The following is a 21,561-nucleotide window of genomic DNA, read 5'->3' as shown; positions in this document are numbered from 1 at the left end:
TATTTTAAGGAATTGCCACAGCCATCCCAACTTCCAACAACCACCATGCTGATCAGTCAGCAGCCACAACACTGAGGTAAGATTCTCCACCAGTAAAACGATTATTACTCCCTGAAGGTTTAGGTGTTAGCACATTTTAGCAGTAAAGTATTTTTAAGGTATGTATGTTGTTTTTTAGACAAAATGTTACTGCACACTTCAAAAACTACAGTATAATATAAACATAACTTTTATATGCAACAGAAAACCGTGACAAGGTTTACTGTGATATTTGCTTTATTTTGGTGGTCTGGAACCAAATCCATAATATCTCCAAGGTATGCCTGTATTTCATCATAGGAAACTACCAAATGTATTTATGCAAATACTGACTAGTGTTGCATGCCAGTCTGATATTTTTAAATGTTACTATTGCTCTTTCATTAATAATGTTAGTTTTATTTATACACATTTTAACACTTCAGATGTAAAGCTGCTAGTTTACTCTAATAATTATAATGAATATAATTGAGTACTCTGTAGTAAGGCATTGTCTCAAATAGTTCACATGTATTATTTCACTTAAATCTTTATGACAATACTGGGTGGTACTATTTTATGCTCATTTTACAAATGAAAAAAACTAAGACTTGGAGAGCTCAGTAACTCACCTCAAGTCACATGATTAGTTAAGTAACCAAGCCAGGCTTGAAACCTACCAGACTTCACCATACAGGCTCTCAACCAGGAGAATGTGCTGTCTTCTCAGTATGCCAGATATTGGGTAATACTTGTTTGTTTCTACAATGTCTCAGTCCTCTGAACAGCCTTTAGAAGTAGGTCTTGCTATCACCATGTAGAAAATTAAAAAACTGAATCTTAATGAAGTTAAATAACGATGTTAAGAAACTGAAGTTAGCAAGTGACAGAAACAGGACAGAATCTCATGTTTTTAACCATTTCATAGAGTTTAATACACTTCGTTTTTGGTGTAACTAATATGTTTAGTTTATTTTGTCAATACATTTTTTTTGCTTTATTTCTCAGGCATTCATGTTTCCTATGTTTTCTTTGCTTTTTGGTATTCTAGCACATAAAAGGTATATGTCCTATTTTTAATTTTGTTAATGGTTACCTCAATTTTTTTTTCAAAATCATTCCTGGACCTTTTTCAACTTCTCAGAATTAAGAACAAAAGTATCTTCTTAATTTCCTCTTTTATAAGGCATAGGGGTACTATACTATTTATCCCCCCAACCAGTTTTTAATATTATGATAATCCAGTAATAAAGTCTTAGATTATTGTTTCATTATTATTTACTATTAAAGATGTTACTTGATAATAAATATTTAAAATATTGAATTTATTAAATTGTTGTTTTTTGCATTATACATCTGCTATGGTGTGAATGTGTCCCCCAAAGTTTACATGTTGGAAACTTAACTTCCAGTGCAACAGTGTTGTGAGGTAAGACCTTTAAGAATTGATTGGGTCATGCCGGGCACAGTGGCTCACACCTATAATCCCAGCAGTTTGGGAGGCTGAGGCAGGTGGATCATGAGGTCAGGAGTTCAAGACTAGCCTAATGAACATGGTGAAACCCTGTCTCTACTAAAAATACAAAAGTTAGCCAGGTGTAGTGGTGCGTACCTGTAGTCCCAGCTATTGGGAGGCTGAGGCAGGAGAATCGCTTGAACCTGGGAGGCTTCAACAGAGCCGAGATCCTGCCACTGCACTCTAGCCTGGCAACAGAGCAAGACTCTGTCTCAAAAAATAAAAATAAATAAATAAATAATTATTTTGGACGTAAGGGTTTCACCCTCATGAGTTGATTAATGCTGATTATAAAAGGGCTTGAGGTTGTGTGATTAATTTCCTGCTCTTTCTTGCCAAATGATGCCTTCTGCCATGTTGTGACCCAGCAAGAAGGCCCTCACTAGATGTAGCCTCTCAGTGTTGGACTTCCCAGCCTCCAGAACTGTGAACCAAGTAAGTTTCTTTTCACTGTAAATTACTCAGCCTCTGGTATTCTGCTATAGCAACACAAAATGGACTCAAATGTCAAAAAACTAACACAAGTATTCAGTGATGTAAGAAAGTTTACAATAATTATTTAGATTTGTCTTGTTAAACTAATTTAAGCTACACAATAGTCATCTTTTACATAACATCATTTTTGAGCTCCAAGCTTCATCTTTTGAGCTCCAAGCTTCATCTTTTGAGCAGTCATATTGCAAAGTCCAGTTCTGAGGCCAACTTATTTTTATACTCTTGTAAATTCTTTCCTCCATGGCTTGATATTATATGAGATTGTTTTTCTTTGTCATTTAGTTCAAGATTATTTTCCCTCTGTAAGTTTAAATATGAGTCTCTTTTTAATTCTTTTATTTGAGCATAATGAAATATTTCAACATGTCTAAACTAGCCTTTTTAGCTCATCTATTACATGTATGGTTATTTATTCCAGCATTTTTCTCATGAACACAAACTATTCATTTGTTTAATATTTATTCCCTGTCTTCTGTTTATATTACTTTTGTCATCATTTTTATCAATTTATCTTTTATTTCTACATTCCAGAAGGGTGTGACTTTGTTGATTTGATTTTTTTATAATGCTAAATTGTTATCTTTTTCCCTCTAATGTGGACTTTAATTCTATTTAATTTTTAATGTACTTGAAATCCACATTAATATTAGTCATCTCCCTTTTTATTTCATCCTCTTATCTTTTTATCAGAGCTTTTTCCTCCTTTATAATTTTTGGCTCCTCTTCCATAGGGGCTGTATCTCTTTGCATACTACTGAGAATTTCCATGTTTATTCTAAATCCCATAGTAGACAATTTTTAGAGGTATTTTATGAGTCTGTTCTCTTCCCTTATACTATGGCATTTTTTTCAATTAGCTCCATGTTGGTTGTTGGTTCCATCCTTCGTCCTTCTTCATCCTCTACAAGACAATATTGCTCACCTTTTGCCCAGCAATCTGGGCACTGAATTGGTGGTCAAATTCCAGTCAAATTGCAAGTTTCTTGCTGCCACTCACCTGGAGCAGCACTCTCTGCTCTACTGAGGTAATGTTGCCTTTCACACCTGGTTCTGTGATTCTCTGAATCAATAAAGACAAGGGGGGTGCGGTGGCTCACGCCTGTAATCCCAGCACTTTGGGAGGTCTAGGTGGGCAGATCATCAGGTCAGGAGTTCAATGCCAGCCTAACCAACATGGTGAAACCCCATCTCTACTAAAAATACAAAATTAGCTGGGCATGGTGGCACACACCTGTAATCCCAGCTACTCAGGAGGCTGAGGATGGAGAAATGCTTGAACCCAGGAGGCAGAGGTTGCAGTGAGCCGAGACTGTGCCACTGCACTCCAGCCTGGGCAACAGAGCAAGATTCCGTCTCAAAAAAAAAAAAAAGAGAGAGAGAGAGAGAGAGACAAGCTACCATTTACAGAATATCCTGACAAGTTCTTTCACCTTTCTTCTCTTTTTAGCACTTTCTTCCTGGAGACCATATCTCCCAGAATGCCACTGGCTACTACCAGATACCCTGAGCTTTCTTGTCACTAGTTTCTAGGAACGGCTGTCTCTGTCCTTTCAAATAAAGTTGGCAAATGAAGTAGGGGACAGAAAGAATGATTTGGCTGCCTCAAAAATCAGCACCTATGCATGACAACAATGGTTCTCAAATTATAGGTGTATCAAAATCATCTGCAGGTGATTCTGGGTCCCATGCACAAAGTGTCTGATTCTAACAAGTTCTCCAGTAATGCTGATTCTGCTGGTCTGAGACTACACATGAAGACTCACGGCAGTAGAAGAACATATGTCCTTTTCTCTGATTGGTAAGACCCTTGAGTCAAAGAAGACAGTAGTGAAAGTGAAGAGTACCTTTTTATTTTTTTCTGGGCAGGCTTTATAGAATGAAGCCAAACTTAAGCAGATTTTCTCTGGGTAGAAGAAATTTAAAACTTCTAGCATAAATTCATCTGTTGGCTTTGGCTTTTAGTAGTCGTCATTATGGATATTTCAGTGAGAAATTACAGTTTAAGGGCTGCTAGCTAGACACTGTTTTAAACCAGAAGTTTGTAAATATCATTTTTAGAAATAACAATATTCCTTCAGATGAATATTCTATAATTGCTCCATCATTCTCCTAATGTTATGTACTCTTAGGCTATTATCAGTTTTTCAGTATTAATAGATGGAGTCACATTAAACACCTTTGTAAATGAGGTCATTTCTGCATTTTTAGATTGTTTCCTCAGATAGATTATGAAAAAAAATTATATAACTGCTCTCATGGATAAAGATACAAATTGCCAAATTGTTTCCTCAAAAGGGTATCATAGCAATCAAAAATAGGATATTCTCACAGAGGGAAAAACAATATTTTGCTAATTTAATATAGAATAAAGAGTAGTATCTCATTATTATTTTGGTTTGCTTTTTCTTACATTTTTCTTGTCAAGGAATATGCCTCCTGCCACTGCACATGATGAAACTTTTCCTAGAAGCAGGCACACACCCAAACTAGGATAACAAAAGAGGTCTTTGATAATAAAATTTTAGGAGAAAAAGAGGCCAGATTTTCTTTCATCATAATAATATACAGAAGGTAGATTGGCAGTAAGCTAGTTTGGCAGTGTGAAAGGCCTTTTGCATGCTCCTTCTCAAGAACGAGTTATGCTAAGAGCCTGATCTTCCCTACCTGCCTCGAATTTACCTCTAGTAACCAAAGCCTTGTGACACTTTTAGCAACAGAACTAGATCTAGAATACTGACCAAATCCTTTCAGCAAAGGCTAGTCACAAGAAAAGGTTGACTACATAAGCTGATTCATGCCTGTAGTCCCAGCACTTTGGGAGGCTGAGGGGGATGAATCACTCAGGAGCCCAAAAATTTGAGACCAGCCCTGGCAACATCACAAGAGCTGGTACCTACAAAAATAAATTTTTTTTTTAAACTAGCCAGGCAGGGTAGCATGTGCCTGTAGTCCCAGCTACTCAGGACACTGAGATGGGAGGATTGCTTGAGCCTGGGAGGTCAAGACTACAGTGGGCTATGATTGTGCTTCTGCACTACAGCCTGGGTGATGGAGTGAGACCCTGTTTCAAAAAAAAAAAAAAAAAAAAAGAAAAGCAAGGAAAAAGAAAAAGAAAAGGTAGACCCTGGGAAAGGAAATGCAGAAGGAGAGAAGAAGGGAAAAAAGAAAAGAGATTTTAAAAACCAAAGGCCTACAGAAAAGGAGAAAAACCTTGAGAGGACCAGAAGCAGCTAGATACTTAGTTGACTTTCAAAGGTGGACATGTGGGGTGCTACCCTAAGAGTGGAAACTGATTCCACATCCACTCTTTGGAAGAGCCAAGAAGTGGGATGAATGGGATGTAGACTCTATTCCTCAATTCTTCTTTCCCAAAACATACTGACTACCTCATTGGATACTGTAGCTCAGTGGTTATCAATCTTGGCTGAAATGAGAATCATCTGGGGAGCGTTAAAAAAACTAGCTTTGTAGAATGAGTTAGGGTGGAGTCCCTCCACCTTGATTTTTGGGAATTATTTCAGTAGGATGGTCCTAGCTCTTCTTGAGACATCTAATAGAATTCAGCTGTGAATCTACCTGGTCCAGGGTATTTTTCAGTTGCTAGGTTTTTTATTACTGATTCAATTTTGGAACTTTTTACTGGTCTGCTCAGGGTTTTAATTTCTTCCTGGTTCAATCTTGAGAAGGTGTGTTTCCAGTAATTTATCCAGTTCTTCTAAGTTTTCTAGTTTGTGTGCATAGAAGTGTTCATAATAATATCTGAGGAGTTTTTTATTAGTTCTGTGGGGTCGGTTGTATCACCACCTTTCTCAAATTTCTGATTGTGCTTATTTGGATCATCTCTCTTTTTTTCTTTATTAATCTAGCTAGCAGTCTGTCAATCTTAAGTATTCTTTCAAATAACAAACCTTTGGTTTCATTGATATTTTCTATGGATTTTTGAATCTCAATTTTATTCCATTCAGTTATGTTTTTGGTTATTTATTTTCTTCTGCTAGCTTTGGGGTTGATTTGTTCTTGTTTTTCTAGTTCCCCTGGGTCCAACATTAGGTTGCTAATTTGAGATCTTTCTAACTTCTTGATGTAGGTGTTTAGCACCATAAACTTTCTTCTTAACTGTGCTCTATCTGTATCCCAAAGATTCAGGTATGTTGTGTCTGTTTTCATTAGTTTCAAAGAATTTTTTGATTTCTGCCTTAATTTCATTCTTTACCCAAAAATCATTTAGGAACAGGTTGTTTAATTTCCATGTAATTGTATGGATTTCAGAGATCTTCTTTGTATTGATATCTATTTTTATTGTGCTGTTGTCTGAGCATGGTAGGTATAATTTTGATTTTTTAAAAATTTTTTGAGACTTGTTTTGTGTCTGAGCATGTGGTTGATCTTAGAATATGTGCCATGTGCAAATGAGAAGAATGTATATTCTGTTTTTGTTGGGTGGAGTATTCTGCAGATGTCTATTAGGTCTAATTGTCCAACTGTCAAGTTTAAGGCGGAATATCTTTGTTAGTTGTCTGCCTCAATGAACTGTCTAACACTCTCAGTGGGGTGTTGAATCTCCCACTATTATTTTGTGGTTATCTAAGTCTCTTTGTAGCTCTCCAAGAACTCATCTTATGAATCTGGGTGCTCCAATGCTGGGTGCATATATATTTAGAATAGTTCAGTCTTGCTGAATTGAACCCTTTATCGTCATGTAATGCCCTTCTTTTTATTTTTTTTGGTTTTATCATTGTTGGCTTAAAGTCTGTTTTATCTGATGTAAGAATACCAACCCCAGCTCTTTTTGTTTTCTTTTTGCCTGACAGACCTTTTCCCATCCCTTTACATTGAGACTGTGAGTTTTATTACATGTGAGATGGGTCTCTTGAAGACAGAAAATAGTTGGGTCTTGCATCTTTATCTAACTTGCCACTCTATGCCTTCTAAATGGGGCATTTAGCCCATTTACATTCAAGGTTAGTATTGATATGTGAGGATTTGATTCTGTCCTCATGTTGTTAGCTGGTTGCTGTGTAGACTGGATTGTATACTTGCTTTGTAGCGTCATTGAGCTATGTACTTAAGTGTATTTTTGTGGTGACAGGTATCTTCATTTCATTTCCATGTTCAACACTCCCTTAAGGACCTCTTGTAAGACAGGTCTGGTGGTAATAAGTTCCTTTAACATTTGCTTATCTAAAAAGGATTTTATTTATCCTTTGCTTATGAAGCTTTGATAGGATGTAAAATTTTGGTTGAAATTTCCTTTTTTTTAAGATGCTGAAAATAGGGTTCCAATCTCTCTAACTTGTAAGGTTTCTGATGAAAAGTCTGTTGTTAGCCTGATGGGGTGCCCTTTGCATGTGAACTTCTCCTTCTCTCTAACTGTCTTTCACTCTGATACCAAAACCTGGCAGAGACAGTGAAAAAAGAAAACTTCACGCCAATATTCCTGATGAACATAGGTGTAAAAATCCTCTACAAAATACTAGCAAAGCAAATCCAGCAGCACATCAAAAAGTTAACACACCAAGATCAAGTAGGCTTTATTCCTGGGATGCAAGGTTATTCCAACATATTACAAATCAATAAATGTGACTGACCACATAAACAGAATTAAAAATAAAAACCACATTATCATCTCAATAGATGCAAAAATAGCTTTAAGTAAAATTCAACATCATCTCATATTTAAAACCCTCAACAAATTAGGCATCTATGAAATATACCTAAAAATAATATGAGCCTTTTATGACAAACCTGCAGCCAACATCATACTGAATGGAGAAAAGCTGAAAGCATTTGTCTTGAGAACTGGATCAAGATAAGGTTGCTCACTCTTAGCATTACTATTCAACATAGTACTAGAAGTTCTAGGACGAGCAAACAAGAAAGAGAAAGAAATAAAAGGCATTCAAATAAGAAGAGAGGAAGTCAAACTATCTCTCTTCACAGATAGTATCATTCTAGAAGTCACGACCTAGAAAATGACGACCTGGAAAATCCCATATGCTCCACCAAAAGGGCACTATAACTGATAAATAACTCCAGTAAAGTTTCAGGATAAAAAAATCAATAGCACTCTCATATACCAATAACATCCAAGCTGAGAACCAAATCAAGAATGCAATTCAATTACAATAGCCACGAAAAGAATAAAATACCTCAGAATGCAGCTAACCAAAGAGGTGAAAGATCTCTGCAATGAGAATTATAAAACACTACAGAAAGAAATCAGACAGCACACAAATGGTAAAACATTCCATGCTCATGGATAGAGAAACAAATCCTGTTAAAAGTCATATTGCCCAAAGACATTTACAGATTCAATACTATTCCTATCAAAATACCAAGGTCATTTTTCACAGAATTAGAAAAAAAACTATTCTAAAATTAATATGGAACCAAAATAGAGCCCAAATAGCCAAAGCAATCCTAAGTAGAAAGAACAAACCCAGAGGCATCACACTGACTAATTTCCAGCTATACTTCAAGGCTACAATAACTAAAACAGCATGGTACTGGTACAAAAACAGACACATAAACAGATCAATGGATCAGGATAGAGAACCAGAAATACAGCCACACACCTACAAACAGCCGATCTTCAACAAAGTCGACAATGACAAGCAATGGGGGAAATGACTTCCTATGCAATAAATGGTAATAGGATAACTAGCTGGCCATAAGCATAAGATTAAAACTGGACTTTTACTATATGTAAAAATTACCTCAAGGTGGATTACAGACTATAAAAATCCTAGACAAAAACCTAGGAAATACCCCTTCTCAACATTAGCCTGGGCAAAGAATGTATGACCAAGTCCCCAAAACCCACTGAAGCAAAAACAAAAGTTGACAAGCGGGACCTAATTAAAGAGCTCTGCACAGGAAAAGTGGCTATCAACAGAGTAAACAGAGAACCTACAGAATGGGAGAAAACAGTCACAAACTATGTATCCGACAAAGGTCTAATATCCAGAATCTTTAAGGATCTTAAATAATCCAATAAGCAACCCCATTTTAAAAAAATAAGCAAAGGTAATGAACAGACAGTTCTCAAAAGACGACATACATGCAGCCAACGAATGTGTTAAAAAAAATTCTTAACATCACTAATTATTAGAAAAATGCAAATCAAAACCAAAATAAGATACCATCTCCCACTAGTCAGAGTTATTAAAACGTCAAAAAATAACAGATGTTGGCAAGGAGGAGAAAATGAAACACTTACACACTGCTGGTAAAACATAAATTAGTTTAGCCACTGTGGAAAGCAGTTTGGAGGTTTCTCAAAGAACCTAAAAGCAGAGCTACCATTTGTCCCAGCAGTCTTATTACTGGGTATATACCCAAAGGAAAATATATCATTCTACCAAAAAGACACATGCTCTTCTATGTTCATTGCAGCACTATACACAATAGTAAAAACATGGTATCAACCTAGATGCCCATTAACAATGGACTGAATTTTTTTTTAAAGTGGTACATATACACCATGGAATAGTACACAGCCATAAAAAGAAAAGAAATGTCCTTTGCAGCAACACGAATGCAGCTGAATGATGTTATCCTAAGTGAATTAACAAAGGAACAGAAAAAAAAGCCCACATGTTCTCACTTATAAGCAGGAGCTAAACATTGAGTAAACAAGGAAATAAAGATGATAACAACAGATGCTGGTGACACTGAAGGGGAAGGGTGGGAGAGAGTTGTGAGTTGAAAAACTACCTATCACGTACTATGTTCACTACCTGGGTGATGGGATTATTCATATGCCAAACCTCAGCAACACGCAATTTACTCATGTAACAAGCCTGCACATGTACCCCAAAACCTAAAATAAAAGTTAAAAAAAAAACTGATGCTCAGTACCACAATTAAGCATCAATATTGTCTAGAAGTTCAACAGGTGATTTTAATGTGCAGCCATGGTTTAGAACTAGTACTGAGAAGTTTGGGAAAAAAAAAAATTCAATTCCAAAGTCAACAGCTGTTTGATTATTCTGTGTAAGTGCCTGCCCAGTCAATGGGAAGAGCATTTGAGAACAGTGCCTGCCTTCCATAACAAAGAGTATAAGGTTGTATTCCAAAGAAAGTTTGGACATTTCTCTGTAAGCCTTCCCTTAGTCTGTTGCATGGTGGGCTTATGTCTATAATAAACTGGGGTAGCCTCTGCTTACTCTCTGAGTCCACCAGATCAGATATGATTGCTGTTTATTTGTAAAGTGCTGTGAAGTGCAGCTTATTACAAATTGTAAGAACTGTACTATTGTTTTTCTTGTTCTACCACATTCTGGAGCGTACATTTAATGGTGTGTAAACAGAACAGCTGAAATGTAACTATTAACTTACAGAAGCAAAATCCCATTTGTTTTCTCTTCTCAACACTTTGTACTTGCTTTTCTGTAATAATAGCAAAGCTTAAAATGGTGGATTTGAAATTAGATGCTCTACTAATAAAGCTCTTTTGCCATTTTAAATTTTAAATGGTTGAGGTGACAGAATGCTAGAATAGCTCTCTAAAGAACCTTAAAAATGTACTAAAACTATCAAAGGACATGCATGTAGGATATATAAATATCTCCTTGAAATCAATAAGAAAAAAATAGATAACCTAATAGGAAAATAAAGTTCAAATATTTTGAACAGGTACTTCACAGAGGAAGTTACCCAAATAATGAATACTCAACTTCATTAGCAGGGAAAAAAATTCAAAACCCAATGTAATTTCTGTACACATCAATAAGAATGAGCAAAAGAAAATGTATAGACAATACCAAGTGTTGACAACTGGACTGTCATACACGGCTAGTAAGCGTGTAAATTCATAGAGCCACCTTGGAAAACTATTGGAAAGCTGAACATACACACCCTCAATGACTCAGCAATATGAACCCCTAAGACATGGTCATATGTAATCCCTATAACCCAACCATTTCACTCCTAAGGAATGCCCCAATGAAATGTTTGTCTAAACATGAGCAAGAATGTTTATAACAGCCTATTAATAATAGCCAAAATCTAAAAAATAACCTAAATATCCTTCAAGAGTAGGGTAGATAAATGTATTATGTATATTTGTACAATGGAATACTATCGACAATAATATAGACCTACCTATAAACTACACATAGCAAAATAGATAAATCTTACAAACAGAATAATGAAGAAGCCAGGTACAAAATCCTGCATGCCCTAAGATTTCAGTTATATGAAGTTCAAAAACAGGCAAAACTAGTTGACAATGTTGTAAGTCAGAATAGGGCTTGTCCTTGGGAAATAAGTGGGGGATGGTGACTGGGAGGGTACAAATGGGATTTTTGAGGTTTGGCAATATTCTACTCGTTTTATGTTAAACAGGCTGTACAGTAATGATTAATAATTTACATATATCATTCTGCAATTAAAAGTTCATTTAAAGATGGTTAGGATATTTTTATTCCGTAACTGTGAACAATTATACAAAGCTAATTTATTTACAGTTTAAAGGGCAGGGAGGGGAGGGGACTACACTTGAAAAGTTGAACATAGTCTCAAAGCTTCTGAAACTGAAGTCATTATTGTTTTATTTAACAAAGACTTATAAATATTAAATATGAATGTATTTAAGCAATCTTGTAAAATAGATATTAGTGTTGTTCTTATGTCAGAGATGAGAAACCAACGACTGCTGAGATAAAAAAAAAAAAAAACTTGCCCAAGTCAATGAATGATAGAAACTAGTTTTAAATCCAGGAGGTCTGGCTTGGGGAGGTGAGTAAGGGACATTATCTTAATCACTTCACCATGGTTTCCCAACACTTTGGTGAGAACCCTTCTATGCTCTTAAAAGTTATTCAGAACTTGAAATTTTTTTTTATTTATGTAGATTATGTTTATCAATATTTACAATATTAACATTAAAAGAGAAAAACTTAAGATTATACAACCATTAGGCATCAGAGGAATGATGTCACCACACTTCATGTAACCTCCAAAAAACTCCACTGTGCATGCATGAGGTAATGACAGTCAAAGACAAGTAATGTCCTAATATTATTATGAAAATAGTTTTGATTTCAAATATTCTAGGATAGACTGAGAACCACTGCATATACTATGCTGCCTCTCTATTAATGAGAAGAAAATGAACATCTAATGATAAGAAAGAGACAATGTGGTAGCAACTTATCATACCCACAGCTCAGACATCACACTGCAAATTAAGCCCACGCTTTTAGGAATATAGGATAGAAGCAGACAATTTAGATTTAAATTCTAACACTACAACTTTTTCTCAAGGAAAATTGTTTCATCTCTCTGAGTGTCTGTCTTTCAACTGAACGATGAAAAGAGCAACACCTAGTTCCTATAGTTATTGTTACAACTAAATGGGATACAAATTGGGTGAAAATACCCCCATCATGTCCAATATAAAATAGGAATCCCACAAACATTTGTGAAATTTCTTTGTCACTTCACCTCTATGTGGAACAAAGAAAAATAAAACTTCAAGGAAGAGCCTTAATCTACTTTTCTTAACAGCTCAACAATGTTAAATGATTCAAATCTGTCTGATTGCAATACTTCCAACTTTTGTGCCTGACCCTAGGTTCCCTGGAAGATAATGACTCTGAAAAATTATTCTTTGGATTGTTTCACCTCTGCTGAAATTTATCCAACACTCTTACTAGAAAACTTAGGGCATCATTTCAATGTTGGAAATCCCAGGTGTCTCCAAGTTACTCAAGAATTATAATGGAATTTCTAAACAAATCTACTTTACTTTGTATTTTAAAACAACTACATATTCTAAGCATAATTAGAAAGATGTGTGTAGAAGGCAAAGAGGTAATGTATGGTATCATGAAACAAAATAAACAATGAAAACTCTTGAAAATAATTTATTTAAATTCAAGGTCTATCAACTTTTTCTGTAAAGGACCAGAGAGTAAATGTTTTAAGCTATGTGGGCGAACTGTCTATGTCACAATTAACTCTGCCATAATGCAAAAGTAGCCATAGGCAATATTTAAATGAACAGGCATAGCTGTGTGCTAATTAAACCTTTATTTACAATAACCTACTGTGGGTCACATTTGGCCCATGGGTCCTTGTTTGCTGACCCCTCATTTAGATGACAAAGCCAAAGCAAAATGATTTTTTTTAAAATGATATTCTATTCCTCAATTCCTTCAGGCATGTTTTAAAATGGCCTGGGAAAATACCATGACAACTGAATCCAAACCAACTTGGGCCTCTAATGTTGGAGAGCCTTTCTTCCAGCCCTGGGCTAATTAAGGACTTGTTTCTCTTCCAGGTAAACCCATGACAATTCCACAAGGATGAGGCACTGTATTTCCATTCATCTTCTAGTTTTATCACAGCTGTGCCATTCCTGTCAGCAAAACTTGGAGGCTGTCAGCATTTTCATTATAATGTCAGCATCTCAGGAGGTTATAAATCTGCCTAAGATAGCCTGAGCTAAAACTTAGCATAACAGCTTCTAGACCAAAGATAAGCAGCTGGCTCAACAAAATTAAGTTCATACTGAAAGGTAGGCCAAAAAGTTATCTTTGTAAAGTTCAAAAAAATTTTGGTTGTGAAGATCCACATGCAACTCAATTTAACAAATATTTATTGAATTGCTACCGTTAAGTATCCTTTGTTATTTTATCTGTCCCATTTTACTTCCCTCTGGGAAGTGCATCTCCCCCAGTTCACATCAGCCTCTAATGAGGCTCTTGATCAAGGAGTCTTGCCTTGCCTTCCCCCAGAGTGGCTCACATGACCCAATGGAGCCAATTAGACTATCCCATTTCCCTAGGCACAGAATTCCCTAGACATTTGGGACTGTTTCTGTTTTCAGGGTTTTTATGGCCACTGGGAACAAAACAATCTCTCTTCTTCTGTACTGTTTCTAAAGTGGACACACAAGCCTGAAGCTTCTGTGTGTGATGACTTTGAGGGACCCATGGGATATCCTTTTGACCATAATTAGTAGGCAGTTGAATTCACAAGTCTGACAATCCAAGAAGAGTTTGAGGATGCAGCTGTGGATTTGGAAGTCATTGGTGTGCTTCAAAGAACAGTTTGAAGCACATTCTAGGATCCTGCAGTTCTGTGGAACATAGTTTAGGAATACTAAAAACACAACTAGAAAGTAAAAGCAATCAATGACTACTCAACAAATATACTGTGCTTCTACTATGTGCTTCACTCTGGGATAGATGCTAAGAATATAAATGAGTGACAGTGATGGATTGGACAGATAAGAAGGTACTAATTCAAAGCACTTATCAGCTGAGGTCTCCTGTTCCCTTGAGATGTAGGTAATATGATGTTACGTCCCCATACCATAACCCATGGAAGTCCAAAGCCCTCCTGAAAATTTCTGTGAAATCCCAAGGGCTAAAATTTTCTAGTCGCCTCTCTCTCTCCAGGTTCCTCCTTCCACATATGCTGTTTCCATTCTTTACTGCAGCTGCCTGTGTTGGAGACACATTTATCAACCCCAAGACCATGTATTGCCCATTCATTGGGCATGTGTTTGTGGCCTGTTAATATACTTTGCATTTGTAAACATCACTCTTTTTTTTATGAGACAAGTTCTCACTCTGTCACCCAGGCTGGAGTGCAATAGCACGATCACAGCTTACTGCAGCCTCAACTTCCTGGTTCAAGTGGTTTTCCTGTCTCAGCCCCCTGGGTAGCTAGGACAATAGGCAGAGGTCAACATGCCTAGCTAGTTTTTTTTTATTTTTCTAGAGATGAAGTCTCCCCATGTTGCCCAAGCTGCTCCTGAACTCCTGAGCTCAAGCGATCCTCCTGCCTCAGCCTCCCAAAATGCTGACATTATAGGCGTAAGCCATGGTGCCCCACCAATGACACACTTTTTCAACTGTACCATAAACTTCTTGAAAACATAGATTATATCACTAGGCCTCAGGCTAACAACAGTACCAATATCTTTGTTGATAAAGCCTCATTCAACTCATTCCCCTACACGTCACTTTAGAGACTTCACTCTTCTTTGTTTATTGCAAGTAACCCGGAAGCAGCCTGCCCCAGTTGCTAGTTACCCAAACCAACCCAACAAAGCAACCACAGGATTTTATCTTGTGGCAGTGCAAATATAAAGGACCGAAAAGGCTGTGTCAATGCAAAAACATCTGGTGCATTCATTAGGTTAGGCTAAATTGTGGTGACAAATGGGTTAAAAAAATGTAAGCGGGACAAACAAAATTGAAGGGTTTTTTTGGTTCACAGAACAGTTCAACATAGGTGTTCTCGATTGACTGTGATGCTCTTCCATGTAGTGATTCAGGAATCAAGATTCTTTCTATCTTGTGGCTCCAGAATCCCTTAAGATCTCATCAACCTCTAAATCCAGCTGGCATAAAGATTAAGAGAGTGTGGAGGAGGCACACACACATTCCTAAAAGTCCTGATCCAAAGGTGGCACACATCATATGAATTTAGTTCCACGGACACACTAGGAATTTAGCCTGTCCATATGCGCTGCCAAAAATCCAATCACTATTTAAGGATAGAGTGGATGTACGTGGACAGCTAGGGGGCGCCACCATTCTCAGTTTATCTGCTTTAAGAACACCACAGCAGATAAGAGGCTCAGTGTATTCTTTTTATCCCTTTATCCATCACTCAGCTTTTTCTCTTATAGTCTCAAGTATTTTTTCTATATAACCTCCTCCCAAACACCCCCTAATTCCACCCTCTGCCTTATGGTTATAAGAAGGTAAAAATTCAATAACCTCTCCATCATGATCATGACTACATTTCTAAGCATTGTTTAAACCAAGCCATGGGTGTCTAATTTATTCATTACCCCTACAAAAAAAAAACCCAACCTGCAAAATACTCCCAACCTTACAAGACCACGCCTAGAAACTCTTACAAGGAAACTATTCCAAATATATTATCTATCCTAACAAATTCTCCCTTTTTCAGCAAACTTCTTCCTTTTTCAGCAAACTTCTCCTTTCTCCCTAGAGTAGAACTGCCAGTCTCATATGCATTTCTACATACTCAGCTTCCAGTACCAGGGATGTCACTTTATTAATCAAATTGTCTTCAGTGCTGCTAGTTACTCTAACCTGAAAAACTATTATGCATACATTTGGTCAACAAATACTTATTAAAAGCCTATGTGCCCAGCAGCATGAAAGGCTGGAGACTTGAGGATGAAAAGAATATAGTTGCAGATCACCAAGGACTTACTGTCTTATAAACAGGTATTTATTTATAGAGCCCACTGCTCTAATGAAGCTCTGAACAATGCTTCATAGGACAAGATATAAAGGAAGCACTGAACTCTGCTTGAAGATGTCAGGGAAGTATTATTCATCAGCATTTACTGAGTCCCCAATTTGTACTCAGTGCTATGATGGGCAGCATGAAGGCCAGAAAACAAATAAAATGTTCTAACCTTGTCCTTGATGAGCATATCATCTCTATCCATACAGCAATAATGTTCTCTACAAGGCTGTATAAAGTGTTGCAACTCAATGAAAACGGATTATTAATGATGTTGAAGATGAGGTAAGCATCCTGGGAGAGGTCAAGTCATAAAATGAACCTTGAAAATTTGTTTTAGTCTGGATGAGAGTTGGGTGTGGAACGACTGGCTTTGCAGACAAAGAAAATAAATAGAGTGACACGGGACAGGGAATATAAGCAGTGAGTACCTGAAACAGTAAAGAAAGAATCTTTTAGGAGTGAATGGAGTTAGTAGAAAATAATGGAAGAAAGTGTGGGAGAAGCTAGGTGGAGCCAAACCTTATGAGTTGAGCAGGTGAGATAAGATTTAACGTGTACAAATTAAGAAACTATTGAAATCTTGTGAGTAAAAACACATTTGACAGAAGCAGTGTATAAAAAGACCTTTCTGACTGCAGTAATCTAATCCATTCAATAAATGCTTGTGAATTTTTAACCTATATAAAAATGTAGTTTATATAAAAATATAAGAATATAGTATGTTCTTCACTTTCAAGAGTTAGGAAACACTGGTGCTTCTGAGTCATTCTGTATTGAACGGTATAATTTTGATGTTTGGGTCCCTAGAGTCAAAATGTAAATGAAAATCAGTTGGAGGCATTTTAAGAATGGTGCAAAAAAAAAAAAAAAAAAACTCCTCAACTGCATGATGCTGTTTTCTAAATTCTTTAATGATATTTTTCCTGTGGGAATCCATTAAAGTCCCCCTTAAATCACTGTATTTCATATTTTTCCCTAAATGTTCTGAATATTTCATATTTTTCCCTTGCTGTTCTCAAATGAACAAACTCAGTAACTTCATTTTAAAGGAATTTTGATTGGGTTTTATTTTGTTTATAAAGCTGTATTATTTTTACTCCGAATCTGATCATCTTGGGAGATGCAAATTCATTTCTCTCCTCCTTAACTTTCCCTGCTGGACATGACAAGTTGACACCTCCAGCCAAATGCATTACTTTCACTTGATCTGCAAGGCTTAAGATTCTAGATGATCTGCTTAAAAGTTAGGTTTTTCTTCTTTAAAAGCAAAACTTTACATACAGACAGGGACCCAAAAAAGTCACTCTGGAATGTTGTGTTTTCTTGGTCTTACCACCCAAACAAATTCATCTGAAATACCTATAGTGGAAAACCAAGTATGATGAACAAAAGAAAGAGCCCTCATCTAACAAAAACAACAAGGCAAACACAATGAGGAATGGCAAATAACAGAGTCCCAGTGTTGGGAAGAAAATGGACAATAATGAGGCCTGTGGCAAAATCAATTTTCCTTCCCTATCCTAATAAAGCAACTGCTACTGAGCAATGGCTTATCTTTTTCACACAAGCACAGCCAGCATTTTCAGATTTTTCTCATTTTTCCAAAGATGGTGTAATTCAGATTTTCACATGAAATCTCTTGATTTTTTAAATTTTGGCAATCATAGCAGAGACACGATTGTTGCTACCTCGCAGCCATTCCTGACCCACTTAACCATCACTCACCTCCTGTTGCAAAGTCTGAAAAATCTAGTCACTCACTTTCCAAGACCTCCTGTTTCTAGTAATGGCTATGCATCAAAGTTTTGGCCCTTAAGGAATAAAGAATAGTTATCTGGGGAGATTGTAAAGAAAGTTGTTCCAGAAAGATTTTTTCTCTTCCCTGATAAAAGATGAGAGTGACATGAGGACAGATCATATTCACTATTTTGGCTCTCACCCTACATTTGCCTTTAGTTAAAGTCATTTATGTGACGTTATGCCTGGAGATGTGGTAGCCATTTTACAACCATGAGGGTAGAACAAGAGAATCATGGAGATGCCAACCTAGAGCTCTAACATAGTTAAGCCACTGATCTAATTCTAAACACATCTATCACTATTATTTTTAATGAGATGATAAATTCATTTATTAGCTAAAAATTGTGTAGAATTTGTTTATAATACTGTCAAGAATGCCTAAAATGTTCTAGCTCTTAACTGGGCTTATAAAGATTCAGTGTGACATCTTTCAAAAATTTCCACCATAGGTCACATGAATCTCTTTATTCACTCTTCTATTATAGTTTGGGTCATACCATACTGTTTAGAACTTTTTTGATAACTGTGTTATGGGTGGTGATTATAAGCTGTTAGACAGCTAAGCCATTTATGCCAATTTATCTGGGAAAGAAGTCATAGCAAATGGAGCATCTTTAATCACAATGGCCAATTTAAGTGATGGTGCTCCAACTTCAGAGGAGAAGCATGTATTTGTGTGAGAATCTCCTAAGAGATTTGGCTTTTCTTCCTGGAAAAATGCACTTTCTCACATCACACTGAGTTCTGAGTATACCTCCGTGGGCTTCACAGATTCCCAATCAGTTCAAGGCAAATTTAGAAGGAAACTTATTAGACCTGGGAAACAGTGAATGGGGACTGGGAGCAGAATCCAAAATAAAGTTTGGGAATAGAGAATAATCATTTTCCATAAAAATGTCTCTGTGGCCACCTGAGATAAACTCAATGATAAACAGACTTTCTATGATCTGTTCTCTGTCTTCGGATACAAATACAGCCTCAAAAAGGCAAGCCTTACATTACCTGATCATCTAATTTTATAGGTATAATACATAGCTATAATGTATAATACTGGGAAAAAATAAGCCAGTTTAAGAAGACATTCAGCAAAGAGGTAGAGAGAAAAAGAGGCTCTTGGTTTTGCCCAATCTGAGCATCAGACTCTTGACATATAATAATCACTGGGCAATGTCTCTATACGCCTCTTTCTGGAAGGAGCTTTAACATGGACTTTGAATTAAATAAATTTAAGTGTTACTAATTTTGTGTCAAGACTAGTTTTCTCTCGATTCTCTAGGCTTAGAGTATATATTTCTATGTTGATTTGTGTCTTAAATAAATAGCAAGAATTTTACTGCAGTATTGGTACAAAACTCTGCTCAGTGAAGCCAAGGGATCTGACAGGCAAAGTTCCAATCTCATCTTGGCACAGCCAACCAGCCAAACAGCATGTAACACTGTGATAATTTGAACATTTTCCTTTTCGAAAGCATATGATTCACAACAGTGTTTTTCTCTATCTAGTTTTTATCTCTCCTGAATCTCAAACATCTTCTTAAGTAAGGACTATTTCACAATCCTATTAAAAAATGGAAAAGCTGGTCACCTTAGATGAAAAAATATTAATGTAGTCCTAAAATTTCCTGAAGGAGAAACATATAAATATAGAAATATCTTCAAATATCTAGAGATTACTTCTTCTTGAGTTTACCAAATTCCGTTCTGAATATTTTGAGTTTGACTAGTGATGAGGACTTACAGCCTCTGGATAAAGCCAATGAAATCTGGATGTTTCTAGCTAATTAAGGAAAAAGCTCCCTTCAAAATTTTTAAATGAGAGGAAGCCTTGGATATAGCATTCGCTTTCTGTAGAGAGAAAATAATTTGCTAAGTGAAAAAAAGGAATTTCCAGAAAGAAATTACTAACATCATGTTCGTTTAAATTATTTTTAGACTCAGCATTAAAGACCTTTTGTTGTCATGTGTAAGCCAATGAGCACAAGATTAAATGCTGAGTTAACAAAAGTTAAACTGACTTTTCATCGTTTACTTACATCTTTAGTTACTTGGAAACAAAAAAAAATGATTTTTTGAAAAATAATTCCTTGAAGTCATGCAATTTAATGTAATATAGGAAGTATAAACAGAACATTTTCAATAAACTTCTCATAAACATTGCTCATCCAACAGCAATGCCCCAAGATTAGTTCAGTCATCACCTGATTTGTCCTGTGTGCCCATCTTTCACAATACCCCAGGACAGACAAAACTCCTAGAAAAGGAATGTGGAGCCCTAGAGTTTGAGACCTCCTGAGCTGGAAAAGTACTTGATGACATTATAATGACATTACAAAAGCTTTATACTATGAAAGCCACTAAAGAGCCTGAGTCCTCAAAGAATTGCCCATCAATGAGATCAGATAAAGGCAACATTGAAGAAACATCCTTGCATACTGGAACTTTGCCCTCTAGCCCCATCTCTGCTCTGGTATTTATTATTATCCATGCTTGTCATTGCCGTCCTGGAATCTAAATTATCAATTTAACATAGTGTATATTAGTGGGTTTGTAAAACCTAAATTCAGTTCAATTTTTCTGCATAACAAATCATCTCAAAACTTAATGGTTTAAAACAATCCTGTATTAGGACTCAAGAATCTCTAGGCCATCTAGATGGTTCTGCTCATTTGCCCAGGCTTGGCTAATCTTGGCTAAGCTCTTTCACATGTCTGAAGCCTTGCCTGGGAAACTGGGTTGACTCCTTGCTGGCCCACATGGTATCCCATTCTCCATCAGACTGCCCAGGCTTGTTCACATGATGGCTGGCAGCATTCCCAAAGAAAGAGTAGAAACCACACGGCCTCCTGAGGCCAGGCTTCTAAATCACACTTAGTTACTTCTCTGCATTCTATTTGTCAAGGAAAGTCATAAGTCCAGCCTAGGTTCAAGTTTTAGAGAAACAGAATGTACCTTTTTATGGGAGAAGCTGCAAAGAGAAGGGATCGCATTGCAAAGGGAAGGGTATAGAAAGAGATGAAGAATGGCAGCTATTTTTGCAGTATGACACAGAAACAAGTAACTCTTCTAAGCAAAAATGTTGTTTCTTTGTTGGGGGTTAATTTGGAAGGAGGGGAGGAATGATTTCTAACACCAAAGGGTCTTCACCAGTTGAGGCATATTAGCCAGGTAAAGCCAGGCTTCCAGCTCACCAAACTCACCAGTTTTCCCCTCTGCATTCTGTTGCCAAGCATGCCCATTCCCATCCAACAATCTTTAAGTTCACACCCAGGAAGGAGAGTTTGGAGGACAGTATTTGTTGAAAAATACTTTAGGCAGCCTCTGGCCTGGAATGCATCCACTGAACTGGAAGATTCAGTAAGTTGCTACAAAAATAAAATGCTCAGTGAACAAATGAATGCTTGGCTCCTTCTAATGAAAGGGGCTGGAGAGCTCAGGAACTGGCAGAAAAGGTCGGTGCAAGAACAGAGTCCTCAAGACAGTACTAC

The 21,561-nt window shown here is 36.6% G+C and overlaps 1 long non-coding RNA gene across 2 annotated transcripts in view, besides 1 other annotated feature; it reads right to left on the bottom strand.

The window, feature by feature from the left end:
- Positions 1 to 21,561, bottom strand: part of LOC124909357 (uncharacterized) — a 105,069-nt gene that overhangs the window by 52,073 nt on the left and 31,435 nt on the right. The window lies entirely within an intron of this gene.
- Positions 20,045 to 20,710: an enhancer, noted in NCBI's record as "OCT4-NANOG hESC enhancer chr3:25947555-25948220 (GRCh37/hg19 assembly coordinates)". NCBI's record gives its function as "activates a minimal SCP1, AML or CMV promoter by ChIP-STARR-seq in primed H9 embryonic stem cells {active_cell/tissue: H9 hESC(primed)}" and the evidence as "EXISTENCE:reporter gene assay evidence [ECO:0000049][PMID:30033119]".

The sequence above is a fragment of the Homo sapiens genome, chromosome 3 (genome assembly GCF_000001405.40).
Source record: "Homo sapiens chromosome 3, GRCh38.p14 Primary Assembly".
Classification (NCBI taxonomy): domain Eukaryota; kingdom Metazoa; phylum Chordata; class Mammalia; order Primates; family Hominidae; genus Homo; species Homo sapiens.
This window is presented reverse-complemented; position numbering and strand designations above follow the sequence as displayed.